The sequence below is a fragment of the Homo sapiens genome, chromosome 13 (assembly GCF_000001405.40).
Source record: "Homo sapiens chromosome 13, GRCh38.p14 Primary Assembly".
NCBI lineage: Eukaryota > Metazoa > Chordata > Mammalia > Primates > Hominidae > Homo > Homo sapiens.
Window position 1 is genome coordinate 44572627 of NC_000013.11, and position 23840 is coordinate 44596466.

A 23840-nucleotide genomic window follows, 5' to 3' on the forward strand; every position below is an offset into this window, starting at 1 on the left:
CAGTTGGAGTATGAGGGCAACCTATATAACCCAGATTAAGTCATCTTTCCTACCATATCTGACTAGGAAAAGTAGGCAACAATATCTTTCACAGACTAAGATCAAACACAGTAGAAATGAAAAAGGGATGTCTAGTAAAGGAGAACAAACGTGGGAACCACAACCCCCCAAGAGATTATTTTAGCAGCTCAAAATAGATTAACTATTATGTGGGTTAGCAAAAATTAAGCTTTCCATAATATTTCTAAAAAGCATTTTAGAGATAATAAAACCACTTGGCGCCCCCAAACCTGTTTTTAATGTGAACACATGCTCAACAACTATTCTGAAAATATTGTTTACATATTACTATTATTTCCTACTCCCTCTGAAACCATTCCATAACTCTTGCTCTATAAAACTTCCCATAAAAATGCATTTTTCACATACAAAACACAATATACAATGTTTTAGAGTCATTTTGTGCATACATATAGCTACTAAATAGATTAACTTCAAATCTGTTGAATGTCTCCAGAAATATGACATGATCTTACCTCTCATCCTCGCCATCCACCAGGGGTGTCGTCAGCGGTAGCACCTTCAACGGGAAAAGAGAAGCAGAGGCTGCTAGGCTGCTGCTACTCCCATCTGAAACTGCTGACATTCCCCCACTGTCACCACTGATAGTCTGAGGTAAGCCAACTAAGGAGGGCTCCGCTGCACGCCTGGCATCTTCAATTTGGCTTCCAATTGCCTGAGCTAATGATTGTGCGGAGAACTGGGTAGAACTTAGTGGTATCTGTTGTGCCAAAGGCAAATTTGTATTAGTTGCTATCAAGGGAGGTTGACTAACACTTTGAACCAAATTACCATTTTGGGTAGCAGGGGTTTGTGCTATATTTTGTGGTGGAACCAAGTTTGTTGGGGCAGAAGGCATTCCAGAAGGACCAGTTGAACTAACCTGACTTGTAACAGAAATACTACTAGCAGAGGGCAAAGAACTAACTGCAGGCAACTGCTGTGAAACAATTCCTTGAGCTACTGGTTCTACTCCTTGTGGCTGGGGAGGCACAGTTAACAAGGAACTTTGGGATGCAATAACCAATTGTTGAGGAAGGCTTGGAGCACTAGTTTGAACTCCCTGATGAATAATCCCAGTTTGAGCAGGTGGAACCACTTGCGAAGATGGAGGAGCACCCTGCTGAATAACTGAAGGTGGAACCTGGGTAGAGGGCTGCTGCACTGCAGTAGGTATGTTTGCTTGCTGACCAATATTTGCAATCTGACTGCCAGTAGGTACAGCAGACACTGCTGCCGGAGCCTGGCCAACAGGCTGGACAGATGCCCCTGCAGGTTGTGCTGGGACTGCTGTGGGCTGCACTGGCAGCTGGATACCCTGTGGCTGAGCCACAGGAATCACTGTTGTTCCTGCTCCTACTCCTGCAGAACTGGGCTGTCCGGAGGACATTGCTGTTTGAAGAATTGGCTGCTGTTGTACATACTCTGAAGCAGGATTTTGAGTCACTGATTTGACATGGCCTGGGGCCATCTGTGTAGAAACCATTGGTTGCTGTTGTCCATACTGTAACTGTTGGGGTGGTGGTGCCCCTGGAAGGGGAGTTTGCACTGGAGGAGCCGCCTGAGAATATGGTAGCTGGGGTTGAGCCAAACTGGAAATGGAAGGCTGCTGACCTAAAGCTGAAGTTACACCAACCACATTTACAGGCGATGGCTGGATACCAGTTGCAGCACTCATAGTGGCTTGCAGAGGTACTGGCTGAAGACCTTGCTTTTGCTGATAGCTCAGTTCTTGAGACTGTAATTGTACTTGTGAGATCTGTGACTGAGAAATACTCTGTGGTATACTAACTGCTGGAATACTCTGTGGACCAGTGCTACCAAAATCCATCTGTTGGAGGGTCACACCTTGGAGAGCTGGTTGTTGCTGTTGTTGTTGTTGTTGCTGCTGCTGCTGCTGCACCACCACAGTAGGGGCTCCCATCTCTCCACTTCCCACACTCTCTGTATAGTGACTCAGTGTGCTGACACTACTGCTCACTGAACTCCCACTAGTGCTCTCCCTTTCAGAAGTCACTTCTATCGGATTTTGCTTTACAGTCTCCACCACTTTATTTATCAGCACACCTTCTGTAGCAGGTACAGCATTTTCTTTTTCATAGAACTCAGTGCAAGTCCATCTACCTTTTTTAAAGGGCTCAGAACTAGAATCTAACTTCACAACTCTGAACCTCGAAGTGTTAACTGTTGGTTGTTGCTGCTGACTTGAAACCGATCCCCCAGTCATCCCTGCAGCTGCATTAGGAACACTGCTAACAGCAGCAGAGGAAGAAATAGTACCATTGCCCATGCCACTCAAGATATTCACATTAACACCACTGGTAACTCCAGGCCCAACACTCACACCAGCAGCACTAGGAATATTGCTTGTACTTATATTAACATTACCAAGCATGCTGCTTGTCACATTAGGATTAAAACTACCCACAGCAGTAATGTTAACATTATTTACTGTACTAGTGCCAGTAACAGAATTTATACCTATTCCACCTGTAGTACTTGGAGCACGCATATTAGTCATTACAGATGCAGGTGAACCACTGGATGATACAGCAGAAGTTGGTGCAACTGGTGTGATACTGTCAGAGCTTCCAGTTGTAGAGAGTTTTCTAGATACTGGGCTTGAGGGTGGCCCACCAGTAATGGATGCACTGGCCACAGCAACATGAGATGGATGGTGGTGACCATGTTGGAGGTGGTGCCCATGATGAATCTGATGGTGGTGATGGAGGTGGTGTGGATGAGCATTCCCATTGATCACAACATTCTGTTGTGGAAGGTGAGGCAAATGAGGCTGAGGAAGGTGGGGCTGGTTGGGAGAGACTGCCCCAGGTGTCTCGGCTTCCTGGAAGTTATTTAGGGTCTCTTCTGAGGAGCTGCGTTCGGGCTCCCCTAAGTCAGTAGCCCTGGAAAGTGACACATCAAGGATCTCCGAAGAAGAGAGATCTTCCGTGTGAGATTCATCCAGATCATCATAGCTCTCAGTGTCCTCTGCTATACTGTTGTTAGAGCTGATACTAGCGGAGATCTGAGCAGGAGTAACGCTAGTTATCTGGAAGCCACTTTTCTTTTTCATTTGAGTTCCGCCTGGCGCAAGAGGCTGTGCCTGCAGCTGAGCCTGCGAAAGGAGGTTCAGGCTTTGTGGAGGCGGAGGCTGTGGTCCCGACGTAGAAGATGCTGCAGGGGGCGGCGGCTGAAGCAGCGACGGAGGCGGAAAATCCTCGGAAGATGTGGCATTACTACCGACGCCGGTACCTGCTGCATTGAGAGCAGAGGCGCTGCCACTACCGCTGCCCCTTCGAGGGAACATTGCCGGGTGCGCCATCTTCCTAGCGCTAATGTCTGCAGCGGCGGCGGCCGCGGCGGTGGACTCAGGCGGCTGGTGCATTGTGTTGGGTACCGGGGGCGCGGAGGAGACGAGTGCAATTTCCTTCTGCACCGTAATCTTTGTATTGGAGACGCCGGAGAGGAAAACGGGACCTGACGCTCCGCCTGGCGCGATTCCTCCTTCTCCTCCTCCTCAGCCAAAGGCGCCGGTCGCTCCTGCCTTCGAGAGCGAGCTTCGGAAAGGAGGATGAACGAGGGTGAACAGGGCGGCCGGGGACCCGAAGGGGGGATCCCTTCAGTCCTTCGCCATTCACTTTCCCCTCTAGCCTCACACCCCCCTTTATATTCTGCTTCACGTGGGGTGCGGGGCAGGAGGGAGGGGGAGAGCGCAGGAAGGGGAGGAAAAGCGAGAAATGCCCACCTTCTCCGGCCAACTCCGAAGCCGCCTCAGCCCCCTCCTCCCGCCGCGTCGGCGGCCGCTGCAAAGCCCTCCCGGCCGCTCTGCACGGAGGCAGCGCCAAGCAAATGTCGCCTTCCCCTCGCCACCCCCGGGGCCGCCGCCGCCGCCAGCGAGCCCCGAGCTCAGTGTCGCTCAAACCTCCCCTCCCGGCCCCGCTCGGCCCTCCCCCCGCGCCCCGCAGACCCTTTCAAACCCCCTGGGCTCGCGGCGGCTGCTCGGTGAGGAAACGCTGGCCGCGGCTGGGGCCGGGGCGACGCGGCTGCGAGCGGGGCGGCGGCGAGGCGCCCGGTACGGTGAGCCCAGCAACGAGGCGCGGGCGGGCGCGCAGAGACGCCGGGTCCTCGCGGAGCACGGCCGGGGCGCGGCGGCGGCGGTGGCAGCGGGAGCCCAGGGACCGCTCCATCACTGGCAGCCATGGAGCCCGAGCATTTTCCTCCCTCAGGGCAGGCGCCTCGACTCGGCACACGTCCTCGGGGAGGAAGGGGCCGGCACCCGAGCCTCTCCGGAGGGCGGCGGGACGTGCGCTAGGGCGGAGGGTGCGACCCTCTCTTATCCTCTTCCTCCGCAGCCGGCTCTTCCTCACCCCGCTGCTCCCGCGACCGGGCGGGAGAGGGCCGCAGGCGGCGGCGGCTCCTTTCTCCGCGGCGTTGGTGGCCAGACGGGCTGGTGCAGCGACTGCAGCCGACGCCGTTCAAAGGAACGAGGTGGGGTTGGTCGGTGTCGGCAAACGGGGCGGGGGAGTGAGTGGGTGCCGAGGGAGGGTGTCGGGCGGGGAGGGGGCTGTGGTGGTTGTTACTAGTGCTCTTCTTCGGCTCCCCCGGCTCCACCGTATCCCCCAGTCTCTCGCGGCATCGGGAGGGGAGGGACCAGCGCGGAGCGCAGGAGGAGGAGGGGCGACCGCCGGCGAGAGGAGGCGGTGGTGGCTGGGGGGAGGGGGCAGGCGGAGGAGGAGGAGGGAAGATGGCGTCTGCGCATGCGCCTCGGCGCCGCAGACATAAAGCCGGGTCTGGCGGGGCAGGAGGCGGCGGGTCTTCGGGCCTAGGCGAGCGCCAGGTCTCCCGACGGAAATTACCGAAGGCTGGCAGAGGCGCCGAAGCCGGGAGTGGTGGAGCCGGAGGGGATAGTGGGGGTGGGGAATTCCGGCCGAAGGAGCGAATCCGGGTCGGACTGCGTGATTCGGCCCGGTGGGGGCGGGCAGGGTGCGCGCCTGCCGCGCGCCCAGGTTAGGTGTGTCCGCTCTTTTCACACTCGCGGCCGGCGCGCGCGGGCACGCGGCAGAGGAGGGGGCGCGGCGCGGAAGGGCCGGCGGAGGCGGCGGGAGCGCCGGCGCTTGGTGTGCGCGCCTTGGGTGGTGTCCCCCGCCTGCGGAATGGGTAATGAGGCTTTTCTCCGCAGCAACAGCATCACGAGTTTCAGTTCCCAGGAGCCCGCCGCCGCGGCTGCTGCCGCTGCCACGACATGAGTCAGGCTTTCTTCCCTGGCGCGTGGCGGAAACCTCCTCCCCCTCGCCGCACCTGGGCTCGCCCCCGGCCCTTGCCTCCTCGGGGGATGCCCTAGGGCCGGGAGCTGTGGGGTCTATGGAAGGCCGGTGGCTCCCGGTGATAGGTGTTGTCTTTTGTGCAGTGCAGTTGCTGCCATGCGGTCCCCTCGCCCTTCCACGGGCAGGGGCGAGGCGGCCGGGCAGATGTTGCAGCTGTTTCCAGTTAACTGCCTGAGCTCCTCTGGGCTAGGCTCTTCTCTAACGAGGAGTGGTTGCAATCCATCCTTAACTGGAGGACAGAAGCAGGCCGGCCCTGTAATCGACTGACCTCAACAGGTGTCTCCAAGCAGCGACGCCTTTTTCGTTCATCGTCCTGGCTATATCCCCCATTGGTTTGACTCAGGAGGCAAGGTGGTCCGGACATGTGAGCAACACAAATGATAAGAATGCCTTTTAGGGCTAGAAAAGAAAAAGCCATCCGAAATTCCAGTTTTAAAATACACACACACACACACGTTACATTTCATGGGTCCAAATGTAGTTCTACAGAAGCAATGTTAGGTTTGATTGGGGGCAATTTACTGGCGGTTACTTTCTTGGTATTTCATGTCAAAACCTAGTTCTAAGCGTTTCTTACCAATAATCGAGAATGTAAGTCTTTCCCAGGAATTTAAAAATGATAAAGCAAGCCGAAAAACTGTAGGGAGGAATTTTCATTTTGTTAAATTTAGGTTGTTAGGGGAATCAACGCTTATGGTTAGACCTCTGATTCAGGAAGTCTCAAGGATTTACATTCCTATTTCAGAAGATTGTTAAAGCAAAAACGATTGTCATTTGCAGTTTTGATACACCTCTAGTTGTCAGTTCAACTTTTTACCTTTAGTTTTCTCTGAACTCTTCCCCTTGTTCCAAGGGGAAGCTTTCAAAAAGTGAATTATGTCACCATTTGCATGTTATTGAATAGAAGTGCACTCTTAACATCCCATTTATCCAGTGTCAAAGCTATGATACATTGTTGCTTTATGTGGGGTCTCCCACACTGAAAAGAAAAACCCGGACTTCATTTATTTATTTATTTATTTATTTATTTATTTATTACTTTATATTGCTAATGTAAACCTCTGCTAGAAGTAAATAGGCTCTCGCAAATATTCAAAGTGATACAGTAATAAACATCAAATATGTTTGAGAAGACTACTTGTTCTATGATATTAATATGTGATTGGTTGTTTTTATAGAACTATGGCTATTTGTGTTTTCACAAAAATAATTTCTTTTTTACTTTTTGAGCTTTTGTTGCAAGTAATATGCCTGGTTAATCGCTGCCATCCATTGTTGAAATGCAAATTTGACATTCTTTTTCAATAGTTTTTGAATGGAAAATAGAAACTACCCTAACCGATTGAAACTGCAATGGAATGTAGATGGGTGGAATGTCCTTTCTTTGGACTGCAGTATGAAAGAAAATGCTCTTGATCTCTCAAAATGTAGCCTTAAGTCAAAGGTTTTTTGTTTTGTTTTGTTTTGTTTTTTAAGTCAAAGTTTTAAATTACCCCAAACAGCAGCTGTATACCCTTTGGGCCACCTAAATAACTCACCATGATTGTGCTGATATGCTTTGACGCTTAATAAACACATATATTAAAGTCTTACCCAAAGCTGATAGAGTAAAAGAGCTGTTGAGATAGCCCCTCTGGAAGCAGATACTTGTTCTAATGACCAGTAGCAAAGGGTACTGTTTGAGCTGTTTTGATGGGGGAGGAAGGGTTGGGGTGTTATTCCCTTTAAAATAAAGGTTTAAAAAAAAATCCAGAATTTAAGACGTAAGAAAATAAGATCTTTTGAAGTGTATTAATTTTTGCCTGCCATATCACTTTCAAACTCCTGCTTAGGCTGCATCAAGTCCCACTAAGATATAAAGAGCAAGTCAGCCGGGCGCGGTGGCTCGTGCCTATAATCCCAGCACTTTAGGAGGCTGAGGCGGGCGGATCACGAGGTGAGGAGATCAAGACCATTCTGGCTAACGCAGTGAAACCCCATCTCTACTAAAAATACGAAAAATTAGCTGGGCGTGGTGGCAGGTGCCTGTAGTCCCAGCTACGTGAGAAGCTGAGGCAGGGGAATGTCGTGAACCTGGGAGGCGGAGCTTGCAGTGAGCCGAGATCAGGCCACTACACTCCAGCCTGGGCGACAGAGCGAGACTCCGTCTCAAAAAAATAAAAATAAAAAATAAAAAATAAAAAGGGCAACTCTACAGTTAGGGAAATCTGAGTTTCAAAAATCTGGGTCTCTCCCCCTCCAAAATTCTTACGACAGCAATATATGAACACAAATACGTTGAAACAAGGAGAAGGCACCTCAAGAGCCAGATTTTGTTATACTATCATCTTTTAATTAAAAAGGTCTGGATTTTTATTATATAAACATTAAATGCCGACTGCTATGTATAATAAAGTCATTAAATCCTTTAAACCAAGTACTTAGAGCTATCCTTTGCCTTTTGAAAGATCGAATTTTAGCTGTTTTCATTCTGAAGCTGTACCTCTGAATTACTTTTTTGTTGTTGATGTTTTTTGAGACACAGTCATGCTCTGTCTCCCAGGCTGTAAAATGGCACAATCTCAGCTCACTGCAACCTCCGCCTCCCGGGTTCCAGCGATTCTCCTGCCTCAGCCTCCCGAGTAGCTGGGATTACAGGCATGTGCTACCACACCCGGCTAATTTTTGTATTTTTAGTAGAGACGGGGTTTTACCATGTTGGCCAGGCTGGTCTCGAACTCCTGACCTCAGGTGATACATGCACCTCAGCCTCCCAAAGTGCTGGGATTACAGGTGTGAGCCACCGCGCCCAGCCTCTGAATTACTTTTCTGCTTACTCAAAGATTAGCCTGTATTGCGGTGCTCACTTAAATCCAGTTGCAACATTACAAACCAGCCTTATATATTTGGACATGTTTACTGTTTAATGTACCGTAAAAATAGGAAATTTGGGTTGGGTGCAGTGGCTCACGCCTGTAACCCCAGCACTTTGGGAGGCTTAGGCAGGCGGATCACCTGAGGTCAGGAGTTCGAGACCAGCCTGGCCAACATGGTGAAATACCCTCTCCACTAAAAATACAAAAATTAGCCGGTCACTGTGGGGCACACCTATAATCCCAGCCACTTGGGAGGCTGAGGCAGGGTGAATCGCTTGTACCCGGGAGGCTGAGGTTGCTGTGAGCCGAGATCGCGCTATTGCACTCCAGCCTGGGCCACAGAGTGAGACTCTGTCTCAAAAATAAAGAAAAAAAAATTTGCGGCCGGGCGCAGTGGCTCATGCCTGTAATCCCAGCACTTTGGGAGGCCAAGGCGGGCGGATCACGAGGTCAGGAGATCGAGACCATCCTGGCTAACACGGTGAAACCCGGTCTCTACTAAAAATACAAAAAATTAGCCGGGCGTGGTGGCGGGCGCCTGTAGTCCCAGCTACTCGGGAGGCTGAGGCAGGAGAATGGGGTGAACCCGTGAGGCAGAGCTTGCAGTGAGCCGAGATCGCGCCACTGCACTCCAGCCTGGGCGACTGAGTGAGACTCCGTCTCAAAAAAAAAAAAAAAAAAAAAAAAAACTTGCTGAACATTGTAACACAATTATCTATTTGTGAGTACTGCGAAATAGATCAGTTAAAATCAAGTAATTCTTGCCGGGCGCGGTGGCTCACGCCTGCAATCCCAGCACTTTGGGAGGCCGAGGAGGGTGGATCACCTGAGGTCGGGAGTTCAACGCTAGCCTGACCAACATGGAGAAACGCCATCTCTACTAAAAATACAAAAAAATCAGCCGGATGTGGTGGTGCATGCCTGTAATCCCAGCTACTCGGGAGGCTGAGGCAGGAGAATCGCTTGAACCCAGGAGGCAGAGGTTGTGGTGAGCCGAGATCATGCCATTGCACTCCAGCCTAGGCAACAAGAGTGAAACTCCGTCTCAAAAAAATAAAAAAATAAATAAATAAAGTAATTCTCCAAAAGCAATGCCTTTGAAAAGCAGAAAGGGAATACCTGTACTCCAAATGGCTGAGCTACAACAATAGATACTATTAAAGAGAAATGTGTACAGAAAATATGCCACTGTTCCACTCCAGTAATTATTCTGGCTAACCAGTGCTTTAGTCATGTAATATTATTAATACTTATTTATAGCTTTTAGATGTCATCTGGGAAAAAAAAAGTCAGATGTTTAAATATGACTTATAAACTTAAATAATCACACATTTTTACATATGAAGAACCTAATGCAAGGGGATATTGCAGTATGTTTATTAATCAATTTGCTCTCTGTAAAATTTTTAATGAGACCAGGAGTGTGCCATCTCTATCAATATCGCAAAATGCTTATTTCAAAACTTTAATTTCGATTTTAATGAGTACAGTTTAGCTTATAACTGATTAATTTTGGCAGCATTTGTTAAGTTTTTCAATAGTATATTTCAGTTCAGCTAAACAATTTTGTATCCTCAAAGGAGATAATGCTTATAAAACAGAAAAGTATAGTTATTTGAATTTGTGGTTCAGAAGGCACACTGATACACATTAGCTCATTTAATTCTACCCTTTGAGGGAGAAGACATTATCATTCTCGTTTTAGAAGTGAGTAATCACAGGGAAGTTAAATAACTTTTCCAAGATTCATGCCTAAATCTGAATACTCATGTCCTCTTAGTATCAGATTCTATGCCTCTGTATTTAAGGATTTTTCTGAAAAAGTCTGAGCATTAGAGACAAGTATTTTTCAAAAATCTCTTGAAATTAATAAATGTTCCTTCAGTGCTTTTGAGTGCCAAAGAAGATGTGCCATATACACAATTTGAAACAGCATTTCTTCTGTACGAAGAGGATAAAAGACTTTTTCCCTGTTTGAACCAATGTAAATGTTATAGATTCTTCTACACTCCTTTCTGATTTATAAACGTGTTAATTTGGAGAATGTTCTCACAACCTAAAAAAATCATTTCTAATGTCTGCTACAGTACTGTGAAGTGACATTGAAAAAAGAATTTATTAATTTATATTTTTAAAGACTATGATCAAATAGCCCTCCAAATCTTTCCAGTGTTAGCTAATTTTATTTAATGCCTACTATATACTGCACATTGTTTTCAATGCTGTAAGTGTTCTATCCCACTCAGTCCTCACAGTTATACAAAGTAAGAGCTGAAATTGCCCCATGTTACAAGTGAGGAAAGTGAGGTGCCGGGAGGTTTCAGTCTTACAACTTAACTAGAGTGGTAGGGCTAAAATGAAAATCCTGGCAGTCTAACCACCCCTTCACGGCTGCTTCCAAGGCATATTGTTAATTCAGGCTACTGCCAACTCATGCTCCCAAGTTGTTTCTACAGAATACTCATGTTTTAATTTTTCTAATTAGACATCTCCAAAGAATCTATAAGCACATTTTCTCCTATGCAGAGACATTCTAAGAATGTACATTTTAGAGACTACTGTGGCCATGTAGGAATTAGCCATAAAGGAACAGAACAATGATTTAAGTGGGAGGATTCTTCACTGATCGAAACAGATGCCAAATGCTTGAAAAAAGGCATCAATCACACATAAGTGAGAAATGCTATCTATATAGGACAAAATAAATGTTTTCCTGTTTTAGCAGTTAGTCTTTATTGAACATAAGAGCCCGTAGAATAGAGAGAGTAATAAGAGTAATAACCTAGTCTTTTCAACATGTTCTAAGGGCCCATTTGTATTTATATATTTTTTGAATATAAAATTATAGAAATAAACACATTTATCACATTTGTTTATATCATGATTCTAATAAGACCTTTGTCCATTCACTGTCAACAAAAATAAGGTCAAGTTGTACAAACAAAAGCGGCTGGGTGCCGTGGCTCACACCTGTAACCCCAGCACTTTGGGAGGCTGAGGCAGACCAATCGCTTGAGCCCAGGAGTTCGAGACCAGACTGGGCAACATGGCAAGACCTCATCTCTACAAAAAATACAAAAATTAGCTGGGTGTGGTGGTGTGCACCTGTGGTCCCAGCTACTTGGGAGGCTGAGGTGGGAGGATTGGTTGAGCCTTGGAGGTCAAGGCTGCAGTGAGCCCAGTGAGCCCATAAGCATCATGCCTCTGCACTCCAGCCTAGGCAGCAGAGAAAGACCCTGCCTCAAAAGAAATTAATGAAATTTAAAAATGAAAGCAACCAATATTCCTTTGTATTTAAAGATTACATTCACAAATATTTAGGTATATCTCAAGTCTTCAAGCTCAAAGAAAAAAGAATGGCTACTGGGGTCATTCCTTAGTCTGGAAATTTCCTTTGATCATTTATTTTCTCCCTCTGCTCTAACATATCTTTTAAGATAAGAAAATTGATAAAATAGTTTTAAAATAATTTTTAGTAACACATTCAAATTGACATTTCCAGTTATTTTCATTGTAGAAAACAGGAAATCAGTAGTCTTAAAGGCCAACATCTTTTCTGATTTTAATACCATTAATAAAAGAAGAAAAGAAAATCCTAAATGTGTGCACTCTAAATTGGAGTCAGAGACACAAAATCAATTCCCAAAAATATTATGACCACAAAAATTTAAATGCAACAGCACAATTTACATATGGTAGATGTTTACAAAACCTTTCTAATGAATGATAAATTAGAATGATTAAAGAGGAAATGTTAGATTTTTAGACAAAATTGTGAGATGGGATTTAGGAGAAAAAGCCCAGCAAAATGATTTGTTTTATATGCAATATATACACACTTATCACATTCAAGAAAATTAAAAATATGACTGACTCAGCCCCTTCACTGAGTTAAACATAAAGTTAATTGCAAAGATACCAACAAAGTTTTCCATCAAAAACTGGAAAGGTCCAGGTATTTTCTTGCCACAGTTATTTATAGACAGGAATGATAATGCCAACTTAGTGGTTTAATTTCAGTGTTTCAAAAGAATTTATTCAAGAGACATACTGATATAACTGACATACAAAATGGTTAGTAGATGTACAACTGTATTACAACTCAAGGTATATTTCGAGTAAAATGGGAGTAATACTGTTTTACCCCAATGTTGATCCCAAATTATTTGATAATAAAAACAAGAGCTTTGAAAGGAATACTTCCAATTAAAAGCATCTTGAGAAAGGTGCTAAGTTTTCTTTGTTATTTCAAGTATATAGCAGAAACTTAAAAGTTCTTATAAAAAATGTTCTAAATCCTATACTATGTAGTAACATTGTCAACATAAGTGATCACATGAACTTTACTACTGAACGTTTCACAAGGTGTTTCTGAAGAACATAAAGTTCAGACATTACGGCATTAAAAACAAGCTCATTATTAAAATTTTGGTCAAGGGCATGCAATGGTATTAAATTTCCTTCTCTGTTCTTTCACTTGATCCCTGTAAAATTCTCCTTGCCCAACCTAAGCCAATAACAACTTGCTGACTACTCTTTTTCATTAAGCATCATGCCCAAAGCACTTTTTTTTTTGTAAGAAGCAAAGTTCGGTGAAAATGGTAATAGGATAGGAGTTGAATCTGTATCTCCTTTTCTGATAGCTTTGGGAAGGAGGGGGTCCTGGAGGAGAATGTAACAATCATAGCATTGGAGGATGACAATAAGATCCATTAAATTGCTGTGAACATTTATATAATCATGGTGGGCTGAATAACAGCCTCCGAAAGATATCTACATCCTGATCCCCAAAGCTTGTGATGTTACCTTATATGGCCAAAAGACTGCAGATGCTACTAAATGAAGAATCTTTTTTTTTTTTTTTTTTTTTTTGAGACGGAGTCTTGCTCTGTCAGCCAGGCTGGAGTACAATAGCCTGATCTCAGCTCACTGCAACCTCTGCCTCCGAGGTTCTAGCGATTCTCCTGCCTCAGTCTCCTGAGTAGCTGGGACTGCAGGCATGTGCCACCATGCCTGGCTAATTTTTGTATTTTTAGTACAGACAGGGTTTCACTGTGTTGGCCAGGCTGGTCTCAAACTCCTGACCTTGTGATCTGCCTGCCTCAGCCTCTCAAAGTGCTGCCAAAAGTGCGGCCACCTCCACATTATTAAAATGTCCAAAGAGAATGCCTTTGGCACTGTTTTCAGTAATTCTGTTCTAATAAAACATTAATTTAGCATTCATCTTATTACTAGTTGTGCCAGATGAGTCACTCGTTTAAGACTCAGTTGCTAACATACATTCAAAATGGCTTTGATATACAAGTCAAGTCTTTTGAATGCCAAATACATTGGATATTGGACACCAGTCCCCAACCCTTCTTCCCTTCCCTTCCCATTCACTGCTCCACTGTACTCTTCCCTCTGCTCCCATTTTCCTTACCGTAACTCAGAAATTGAAATTACAGCGATCTTCATGTTGACAAAACCCCCAAATAGTAATATTTTATTTTCTTCTTTGTGGTAATTGTGCAGCAGCAGTCAACTAATAACACCATTCACCATTCTGCTCGTCCTAAGTGCATAATAAGTGTATTTCATGAATAATACTGCTACAGAAACTGGATAAAAATAAGTAGAGGGGGCCAGGTGCGATGGCTCACGCCTGTAATCCCAACACTGTGGGAGGCCGAGGCGGGCGGATCACCTGAGATCAGGAGTTCAAGACCAGCCTGGCCAATATGGTGAAACCACGTCTCTACTAAAAATACAAAAATTAGCTGGGCATGGTGGTGTGCGCCTGTAATCCCAGCTACTTAGGAGGGTGAGGCAAGAGGATTGCTTGAATCTGGGAGGCAGAGGTTGCAGTAAACCATGATTAGGCCACTGCACTCCAGCCTGGGCAACAGAGTGAAACTGTGTCTCAGGAAAAAAAGTATATGATAATTTAAGGGCTGCTACATTGTTAAGGACTACAAGATGGGAAATATGGGATTCTGTTCTCCTTAGAAAAAAAAGGAACAGGGACCAGGTGCAGTGGCTCACACCTGTAAACTCAGCACTTTAGGAGGCAGAGAGGGGAAGATGGTTTGAGCCCAGGAGTTCACGACAAGCTGAGGCAACTTAGTGAGACCCCATCACTATTGTGAAACCAAAACATCTGAGACAGGTCTCAGTCAATTTAGAAAGGTTATTTGGCCAAGGTTAGGGATGCACCTGTGACACAGCTGCAGGAGGTCCTGATGACATGTGCTCACGGTTGTTGGGGTGGAGCTTGCTTTTATACATTTTAGGGAGACATAATACATCAATCAATACATGTAAGGTTTACACTGGTTTGATCTGGAAGGGCAGGACAACTCAAAGGTCTGAGGGAGGGGGTGGGGCTTCCAGGTCATAGGTAGATTTAAAAATTTCCTGATTGGCAATTGATTAAAAGAGTTATCAGTAGAAAGGAATGTCTGGGTTATGATAAGGGTTTGTGGATAAGGGGTTGCAGAGATCTATGTTTCATCATGCAGATGAAGCCTCCAATTAACAGGCTTTGGAGAGAATAGACTACCATATAAAGGTCTGTGTTGACGTTAATTCTAGAGAGGTATAATGAGGCATGTCCAACCCCTTCTTCTTTCATGGCCTGAACTAGATTTTTAGATGACTCTGGCATGTCCTTGACTGAGAGGAGGGGTCCATTCAGATGTTTAGGGTCCTTCAAATTTTATTTTTGGTTTACAATATCAATGTTTTTTTCTTTTTTCTTTTTTCTTTTCTGAGACAAGTTCTCGCTCTGCTGACCATACTGGAGTGCAGTGGCATGATCTTGGCTCACTGCGGCCTCCGCCTCCTGGGTTCAAGTGATTCTTGTGCCTCAGCCTCCCTAATAGCTGGGATTACAGGTGTGTGCCACTATGCCTGGCTAATTTTTGTATTTTTTTGTAGAGAGAAGATTTTGCCATGTTGGCCAGGTTGGTCTCGAACCTCTGGCCTCAAGTGATGCACCTCAGCTTCCCAAAGTGCTGGGATTACAGGTGTAAGCCACTGCGCATGGCCTACACTATTAATTTTAAATATATATATGTATGTATATATGTATTTATGTATATAATGAAAAGAAAAACTACAAACATTTAAAGTTGGTCCAACTTTGGTGTCATTAATTAAATATCTACTTCCAGTTCTTTAGGAGACAAAAATGCCATTTTTTGTTTTTTTTACATATCAATGAGGGCACAAACTGAGGCAACTTCCCCAAACCTCATCCCCAGCTCAAAGGTGTATTTACATAACCTTATTCTAAACAAAGGACAAATAGGAAGTAGGAGAACAATTTGGTTCATATTTCACCAAAGATATATTTCCTTCAGGTTAAAGGCAATCAGAGACTTCCAAATCATTGTGAGACAGCCAAGTATAAAGGGGGTCCTGGGAGAAATTCCAACTGGCCTGCACACTGGGAGAATAGGATGAGCCATGGAAGTCTGCGCCCTTTGCATGGGAGAGGAGTCTGGGATTCCAGCCTGGCTTCTTCTGTTCTGGGGTGGAACCTGGGATTCAATCTGTGAGGCAGGAAACCAGCTAGCAAGCAAGAGCCCCCATTTCCCTTTTTTTCCTTTTCACCCAATAAATTCCATTCTTCTTACCTTTCAAAGTGTCTGCGAGCCTAATTTCTCATGGCCATGTGACAAGAACCTGGCTTTTAGCTGAACTAAGAAGCCCTACAACAATTGTAAATACCTATTAATCCACCAATTACATATAGGCACAATATGGATCTTTGGAAATTAGATAAGAATGATTTTAATGTGAAATAATGACAGCAATATAGTTTAGAAACCATGATGGTGAGGCCTCGTTGATGCATACATCTGCTGGGGACTGAGCATATGGTTAGTGCTTGGTACATATGTAAAAACTGCAATTACAGCTTCTTAGTAAGATAATTGATTCTGAGTAAACGTTTGAGTTTTCCTGGTTGTCTTAATTTTTTTTTTTTTTTTTTTTTTGGTAATTGAGCTTTTGCTGTTTGTTTGGCTGGTTGGTTGGTTGGCTGGTTTTTCATGGCAGACATTTAGGAAGAGCAAAGCCTACCAAAAGGAAGATTGTGTTTGCAATATAACTAAATATAGTAATATTACTAGTAAGACCAGGAAAATCCACAAAACTTAATGGAAAACAGGGACAATAACAACACACTAAAGGACTATTTGAGGCTACCTGTTCCCTGATAAATGTGATTATAGCAAATAAGCATGCATAATAAAATTGTGTTTCTATCTCATATATTTAGCATTCACCAATTTTATTCCACAGCAGGCCATTGTCTACATAGTGACAGATAGAATATTCCATAAAGAGAAGGACTAGAAAGTGGGTTTTATTTTTTTAAATAATTATAATAAATTATCAACTTTACCTTTAAAGCACTGAACCGAAGATTTAAAATGTAACTTTAAATTCCATTCTCAAGAAGGAACATGGGGATCATTTTAAAAGCATTAACTTGCTTGTCCTATGCAGGAAAGGCCCCAGAAGAGCAGAGACTGAAGTCTCTACACAGATTGAATTGCATTTTGTTCACTATTTCAGGTACAACCACCACTTCATTATCTGCATGTGAATTTCCCATGGGCCGTTTCCATTCCCAGACCACCTTGAACCTCTTACCCAACACCAATCAGGTCTCCCATGGCCACACCGCAATATGTGCACAGGGGATATGAAATCATTTAAAATTCAGACCAAAAGAGTTTAGGCAGTCAAATCCATTGAGTGGGAAGAAATCCATTAAATTTAATTCAAAGTATATTATAGTTTATCCACTATTTTGGGAGAATTTTATTATTGCTTGCTTCTAATAGCAAAGTTAATGAAGAATTGATTGCTGTTTCAATGAGATCTCTCTGCACACATTTACTAAGAACTCACCTAAATTGTAGCTCATTTTTAATGTGGAACAGAAAACTCAGCTTGTGCCTACATTTCTCATAACAGGTCATTCTAGAATGATTCTAACAGTACATTTCAGTAAATTGTATTATACTTAGACCACCAGCAGAAATCTGGAATAATTGGGTCGTTGAAGAATAAACACTAAAGGCAGGACAAGGGGGTCAATCGTGGAGCAAGAACTTCATTCAGGAAACTGAGGTAATGTCCAGAATTCTTCAAAGACTGCACGGGGGATACTGTTTAACATTAACACAGAACTCTCCAGTTGGTTGGAGAGCGGCTGGGAGAGGTCTCTGTAAGAGTAAGAAGCCTGCTTTCTATTTATTTATTTTTCGGGGCAGGCATGCCTTCTTCAAACAAAAAGAAAGCCCAGGCATACAGAAACTGGATCTCATACAGACAGGGTCTCATTCTGTTGGCCAGGCTGGAGTGCAGTGGTGCGATCACGGCTCACTGGAGCCTGGACCTCCGGGCTCAATGGATCCTCCCATCTCAACCTCCTGAGTAGTTGGGACTGCAGGCGCGAGCCACCAAGCCCGGCAAAATTGTAGACAGGATTTCGCCATGTTGGCCAGGCTGATCTCAAACTCCTGGACTCAGGTGATCCACCCACCTCGGCCTCCCAAAGTGCTGGGATTACAGGCTTGAGCCACTATGCCTGGCCTGAACAGCTTTCTCTCTCTCTTTTTTTTTTTTTTTCCGAGACGGTGTTTCGCTCTGTCGCCCAGCCAGGAGTGCAGTGGCGCGATCTCGGCTCACTGCAAGCTCCGCCTCCCAGGTTCACGCCATTCTCCTGCCTCAGCCACCGGAGTAGCTGGGAGTACAGGCGCCTGCCACCACGCCCGGCTAATTTTTTGTGTTTTTAGTAGAGATGGGGTTTCACCGTATTAGTCAGGATGGTCTCGATCTCCTGACCTCGTGATCCACCCGCCTGGGCCTCCCAAAGTGCTGGGATTACAGGCGTGAGCCACCGCGCCTGGCGAACATCATCTTATATTGTTTATTATTATTATTATTACTATTATTATTGAGACAGAGTCTCGCTTTGTTGCCCAGGCTGGAGTGCAGTGGTGTTAGCTCACTGCAACCTCCACCTCCCAGGTTCAAGCGATTCTCCTGCCTCAGCCTCCTGAATAGCTGGGATTACAGGTGCATGCCACCATGTCAAGCTAATTTTTGTATTTTTGGTTGAGATGGGGTTTCTCCATGTTGGCCAGGCTGGTCTCCAACTCCTGGCCTCAAGTGTTCTGCCCGCCTTGGCCTCCCAAAGTGCTGGGATTACAGGCGTGAGGCACCGCACCCGGCCCTATATTGTTATTATACATGATGATGGCAGCAGTGGGCCATCTGGTGTGTCGCTGCCATCACGCCGGCCACTGCAAGAAGGGTACAGGGAGGAGGCAGACTGCCCCCACCCCTCTACCCCCAATTCCTCCACCCTTCCACCCCACCGCAACCCCCAGCCCCAGCCCGCCACCCTGGGGGCCGCCACAATGGGGCCTGGCCAAGTCGCCCGCCTGGCGAGGGGGAGCTCCAGGCCACCCCTAAGAGCCAGGACCACAGCAGGAGCTTTCAGCAATATCGCCCCTACCCGAGATGCCGGTCCAGACCCAGTGAGGACCTGGAGCCCCTGCCCCAGGCTTCGAGGGGGCGCTGCCGGTTGCCGGTGCGAGGCGCTGGGAGCCAGGGACAAGCGGGAACTCTGCTCCTTACAAGTTAGTGGGGCGGGACCTCCCCAGGTACAACTGCAGCTGCCTAAGCTACAGCAGCAACTCCAGCACCTCTGTGCTCTTGGGAGCCGGGAGTAGGCAGGAGCTCCGCCCTCCTGGGCGGGGCTACAGCCTCCCAAGTCTTGGCTGTGGATCAGGGCCTCCAGCTCCCTGCAACAGGCAGGAGCCCCACCCCACCCCACTGAAAACCGGGGCTGCAGCGCCAGGTATCCTGCAGGCCTGGGGGGCCTGGGAAGGCCCCCCCATGCCCTTGCAGACTCAGAGGTGCCTACTCCCACTGTCTAGCATCTCCCCACTCCCAGGGCCTACTCTGATCTTAAAGTGGGATTTGGGTGGAGCCCAAGCACTGTCACAGCCAGACCAGGTATGCGTAGGCTTGGGCCAGTGCTGACATGCTATCCCTCTGCCACCTCGGCCCCCTCTGGATTTTGGGCACTGAGGAGCACAGGAGGGGAAGCTGAGGGTGGCTGGGTAGTGGCCTGCAGGTGCCCTTTGATGCCAGCACCCTGCCATGGATGGCCGCAGGAGGCAGACAGGCTCCTGGGCAGAAGGGCGCTGGTTCCTAGCAAGGCCCACCTTCAGGCCAGGGAGGGCCTAAAGGCTGAGCACTGGGCTACCAGTTCATGAATTGGAATGAGGACTTGTGGTGCCTTCTCTGGGCTGCCCATGGCCGCCCATGGACCAATCGGCTGGCACTTCTTCCCCTCTAAGGTCCATAAAAGGCTCGGGCTCAGCCAGAGCAGGGCAGAGGGCAGAAGATGGAGAGATAACAGGAGGACCAGCTGCAAAGAGGAGCTACCCTCTCTGCTGAGCACTTCAGAGGCCTGCAGAGATGTCTGCACAGCCTGTGGAGAGGAGCCACCCTTTCCAGGGCCTCCTCTCCGCCACCCTCTCCAGGGCCGCCTCTCTGCTGAGAGCTGAACACTCAATGGGAGGACTTGCCTACAGAAAGGAGTTATCCACTGCGGGGCTCTTCTGAACTGTTCTAACACTAAATAAAACTCCTCTTCGTCTCCTTCACCCTTCACTTGTCTGTGTACCTCATTCTTCCTGGATGCAGGACAAGAACTCAGGCAAAAGTGCCACCAGCCACAGAGGTTTCCAGGAAGAAAACTGACACCCCAGAGATCCCGTAACATTGCTATTTTCTTCCACTGAGGCCTAAGCTGATTTTCAATGACAATGACCCTGATATACTGTTGAGTGGTTTGAATGACAGCTGTAATCAGAACTATGCTATGAAGATTTTGCCATCAAATGTGCATTAGGGACTTATTTCCTATCAGATTATGCACATATTTTGTATAAAATTCATGCTATCTGAATGATCCAAGTGAGTAATGCAAATATTATTGGCACAACATTGTACTTATTTACTATCAAGTATTACATATTGCGTATATCAAATACCCCATATATCTTAGCCTGAGTTCCTCAAAATAAGAGATAAAACTCACATGCAGAGTGTACTTGAAAAAATGGAGCCAGTGGGCATGAATGTCAGCAGGGGCAGTGAAATAGGGAAGGAAGGAAGACACTAAGATGAGTACTGAGTTGGCTATCACTGCGGCACCTTTAAAAATGTTTTCCAGGGCCGGCACAGTGGGTCATGCCTGTAATCCCAGCACTTTGGAAGGCCGAGACAAGTGGCTCACCTGAGGTCAGGAGTTCAAGACCAGCCTGGCCAACAGGGTGAAACCCTGTCTCTACTGGAAATACAAAAATTACCTGGGCGTGATGGTAGGCACCTGTAATCCCAGATACTTGGGAGCCTGAGGCAGGAGAATCACTTGAACCTGGGAGTTGGAGGTTGCAGTGAGCCGAGATTGTGCCATTGCACTCCAGCCTGGATGACAAGAGCACCACTCCGTTTCAAAAATAAATAAAAAAATAAAAATAAAAATGTTTTCCAGGAGGCCAGGTGTGAAGGTTCATACCTGTAATCCCAGAACTTTGAAAGCCAAGGTGGGCAGAGCAGTGAGCCAAGATTGCACCACTGTACTTCAGCCTGGGTGACACAGGGAAACTTTGTCTCAAAAAAAAAAAAAAAAAAAAAAAAGTGTCGTGCTATCACTATGCTTTAGAATTGATTGCCACAATTTGAATAATATTAATCTAATTCTGATTAAATACCTTTCAATTAATATCTTAGAGAGTTGTTTAGATTTACTGAGCACAACCTCATTAATACATGTGAAAATGTGTCTGAAATTCATTCCTTCCGGTGGGTTCTTGGTCTTGCTGACTTTCAAGAATGAAGCCACCGACCCTCCCAGTGAGCGTTACAGTTCTGAAAGATGGTGCGTCCACATTTTGATCCTTCAGATGTGTCCGGAGTTTCTTCCTTCTGGTGGGTTCGTGGTCTTGCGGACTGCAAGAGTAAAGCCGCAGACCTTTGCAGTGAATGTTACAGCTCTTAAAGGTGGTGCGTCCAGAGTTGTTTGTTCCTCCTGGTGGGTTCGTGGTCTCACTGACTTCAAGAGTGAAGCCGCAGACCTTCGCAGTGAGTGTTACAGCTCTTAAAGGCAGCACGTGTGGAGTTCTTTGTTCCTTGCGGTGGGTTCGTGGTCTCGCTGACTTCAGGAGTAAAGCTGCAGACCTTCACAGTTATTGTTACAGCTCATAAATGTAGCAGGGACCCAAAGAGTGAGCAGCAGCAAGATTTATTGTGAAGAGCGAAAAAACAAAGTTTCCACAGCGTGGAAGGGCACCTGAGTGGGTTGCAACAGCTGGCTAGGGTGGACAGCTTTTATTCTCTTATTTGGCCCCGCCCACATCCTGCTCATTGGTCCATTTTACAGAGCGCTGATTGGTCCATTTTACAGAGTGCTGATTCGTCCGTTTTTACAGAGTGCTGATTGGTGCATTTACAAACCTTTAGCTAGACACAGAGTGCTGATTGGTGCTTTTTTACAGAGTGCTGATTGGTGCGTTTACAAACCTTTAGCTGGACACAGAGCGCTGATTGGTGTGTTTTTACAAAGTGCTAATTGGTGCATTTACAAACCTTTAGCTAGACACAGAGCGCTGATTGGTGTGTTTACAATCCTGTAGCTAGACAGAAAAGTTCTCCAAGTCCCCACCCGACCCAGAAGCCCAGCGGGCTTCACCTTTCAAAAACACAGTAAGATCTCACAAATTCAGACTGCATTAATCACCAGGATTCATGGACTGAGAGTAAATTTGAATTTGTATTACCTTTTTTTTTTTTAAAAAGGGTCTGCTTAGAAATTAAGCACGTAAAGGGAAGTGAAGCTGGAGCTGCAGGCGCTTTTTCTGCCCATGGTGTCTCAGATTCGTTCTTAAGGAACTGAGAACTTAATCTTCCAAAATGTCAAAAAGACCATCTTATGCCCCACCTCCCACCCCAGCTCCTGCAACACAAATGCCCAGCACACCAGGGTTTGTGGGATACAATCCATACAGTCAGCTCACCGACAGCAACTACAGGCTGGGAGGAAACCCGCCCACCAACAGCTGGGTCAGGGCATCCTCCGCTATTACCATTCCAAAACCCTGAAAGCCACCAGATAAGCTGCTGATGCCCTACATGAGGTACAGCAGAAAGGTCTGAGACCAAATAAAGGCTTCCAACCCTGACCTAAAGTTGTGGGAGATTGGCTAGATTATTGGTGGCATGTGGCAAGATCTCACTGATGAAAAACAAGAATATTTAAACGAATACAAAGCAGAAAAGATAGAGTACAATGAATCTATGAAGGCCTATCATAATTCCCCCGTGTACTTTGCTTACATAAATGCAAAAAGTCGTGCAGAAGCTGTTTTAGAGGGAGAAAGTGGACAGAGACAGTCTCGCTTGGAGAAAGGAGAACCGTACATGAGCATTCAGCCTGCTGAAGATCCAGATGATTATGATGATGGCTTTTCAATGAAGCATACAGTCACTACCCATTTCCAGAGAAACTACCTCCTCATCAGTGAAATCCTTAGTGGGAGTGTGGTGGCAGACGTTCGGTCAGTTGTCACAACAGCTAGAATGCAGGTCCTCGAAGGACAGGTCCAGTCCTTAATGGTTCATCAGCGAAAACTAGAAGCTGAACTTCAAATAGAGGAACGACACCAGGAGAAGAAGAGGAAATTCCTGGAAAGCACAGATTCACTTAACAATGAACTTAAAAGGTTGTGCCCTCTGAAAGTAGAAGTGGATATGGAGAAAATGGCAGCTGAGATTGCACAGGCAGAGGAACAGGCCCGCAAAGGGCAGGAGGAAAGGGAGAAGGAGGCAGCAGAGCAAGCTGAGCGCAGTCAGAGCAGCATCCTTCCTGAGGAAGAACAAGCAGCCAACAAAGGCGAGGAGAAGAAAGAAGACGACAACATTCCAATGGAGACAGAGGAGACACACCTTGAAGAAATGACAGAGAGCCAACAGAATGGTGAAGAAGGCACGTCTACTCCTGAGGACAAGGAGAGTGGCAGGAGGGGGTGGACAGTATGGCAGAGGAAGGAACCAGGGATAGTAACACTGGCTCAGAGAGCAACAGCCCAACAGTGGAGGAGCCACCAACAGATCCCATACCAGAAGATGGGAAAAAAGAATAAATGTTGCCTTGTTTTATGTGTTCTAAATACTTTTTTAAATGAAAAAATGTTTTTTGGTTTAAAAAAAAAAAGAAATTAAGCATGTAGGCAAGGCGCAGTGGCTCACGCCTGTAAACCCAACACTTTGGGAGGCAGAGGTGGGTGGACCACTTGAGGTCAGGAATTCGAGACCAGCCTGGCCAACATGGTGAAACCCTGTCTCTACTAAAAATACAAAAATTATCTGGGCATGGTGGCCCACGCCTGTAGCCCCAGCTACTCGGGAGGTTAAGCAGGAAAATTGCTTGAACCCGGGCAGTGGAAGTTGCAGTGACTCGAGATTATGCCACTGCACTCCAGCCTGGGTGACAGAGCAAGATCTATCAAAAAAAAAAAAAAAA

The 23840-nt window shown here is 46.2% G+C and overlaps 1 protein-coding gene, 1 long non-coding RNA gene and 1 pseudogene across 11 annotated transcripts in view, besides 6 other annotated features; 2 read left to right on the forward strand and 1 right to left on the reverse strand.

The window, feature by feature from the left end:
* Positions 1-4718, reverse strand: part of TSC22D1 (TSC22 domain family member 1) — a 145202-nt gene extending 140484 nt beyond the window's left edge. For 4 of the 10 annotated variants that reach the window (XR_001749705.3, NM_183422.4, XM_017020810.3 and 1 more), the window contains exon 1: positions 537-3704. Coding sequence is in view for 9 of the 10 variants with exons in the window: in NM_183422.4 (NP_904358.2) it covers positions 537-3448 (2912 nt within the window). In the remaining variant the exon portion in view is untranslated. Of the gene's footprint in view, positions 1-536 lie in introns of all 10 variants that reach the window. The other 6 variants (XM_047430716.1, XM_047430718.1, XM_047430719.1 and 3 more) reach the window with 3 other exon arrangements.
* Positions 3177-3416: an enhancer, noted in NCBI's record as "active region_7674". NCBI's record gives its function as "activates an Ori minimal core promoter by ATAC-STARR-seq in GM12878 lymphoblastoid cells {active_cell/tissue: GM12878}" and the evidence as "EXISTENCE:reporter gene assay evidence [ECO:0000049][PMID:35858748]".
* Positions 3270-7806, forward strand: TSC22D1-AS1 (TSC22D1 antisense RNA 1). The gene is made up of 3 exons (NR_038381.1): positions 3270-3644; positions 4416-4551; positions 5476-7806. It is a non-coding gene; the product is annotated as a TSC22D1 antisense RNA 1 (long non-coding RNA).
* Positions 3737-4446: a silencer, noted in NCBI's record as "silent region_5306". NCBI's record gives its function as "represses an Ori minimal core promoter by ATAC-STARR-seq in GM12878 lymphoblastoid cells {active_cell/tissue: GM12878}" and the evidence as "EXISTENCE:reporter gene assay evidence [ECO:0000049][PMID:35858748]".
* Positions 4457-4696: a silencer, noted in NCBI's record as "silent region_5307". NCBI's record gives its function as "represses an Ori minimal core promoter by ATAC-STARR-seq in GM12878 lymphoblastoid cells {active_cell/tissue: GM12878}" and the evidence as "EXISTENCE:reporter gene assay evidence [ECO:0000049][PMID:35858748]".
* Positions 4967-5166: a silencer, noted in NCBI's record as "silent region_5308". NCBI's record gives its function as "represses an Ori minimal core promoter by ATAC-STARR-seq in GM12878 lymphoblastoid cells {active_cell/tissue: GM12878}" and the evidence as "EXISTENCE:reporter gene assay evidence [ECO:0000049][PMID:35858748]".
* Positions 5347-5396: a silencer, noted in NCBI's record as "silent region_5309". NCBI's record gives its function as "represses an Ori minimal core promoter by ATAC-STARR-seq in GM12878 lymphoblastoid cells {active_cell/tissue: GM12878}" and the evidence as "EXISTENCE:reporter gene assay evidence [ECO:0000049][PMID:35858748]".
* Positions 17327-17621: a silencer, noted in NCBI's record as "tiled region #2103; HepG2 Repressive DNase matched - State 3:PromF". NCBI's record gives its function as "represses a minimal TATA promoter and a strong SV40 promoter by Sharpr-MPRA in HepG2 cells {active_cell/tissue: HepG2}" and the evidence as "EXISTENCE:reporter gene assay evidence [ECO:0000049][PMID:27701403]".
* SMARCE1P5 (SMARCE1 pseudogene 5) lies at positions 22142-23523 on the forward strand (annotated as a pseudogene).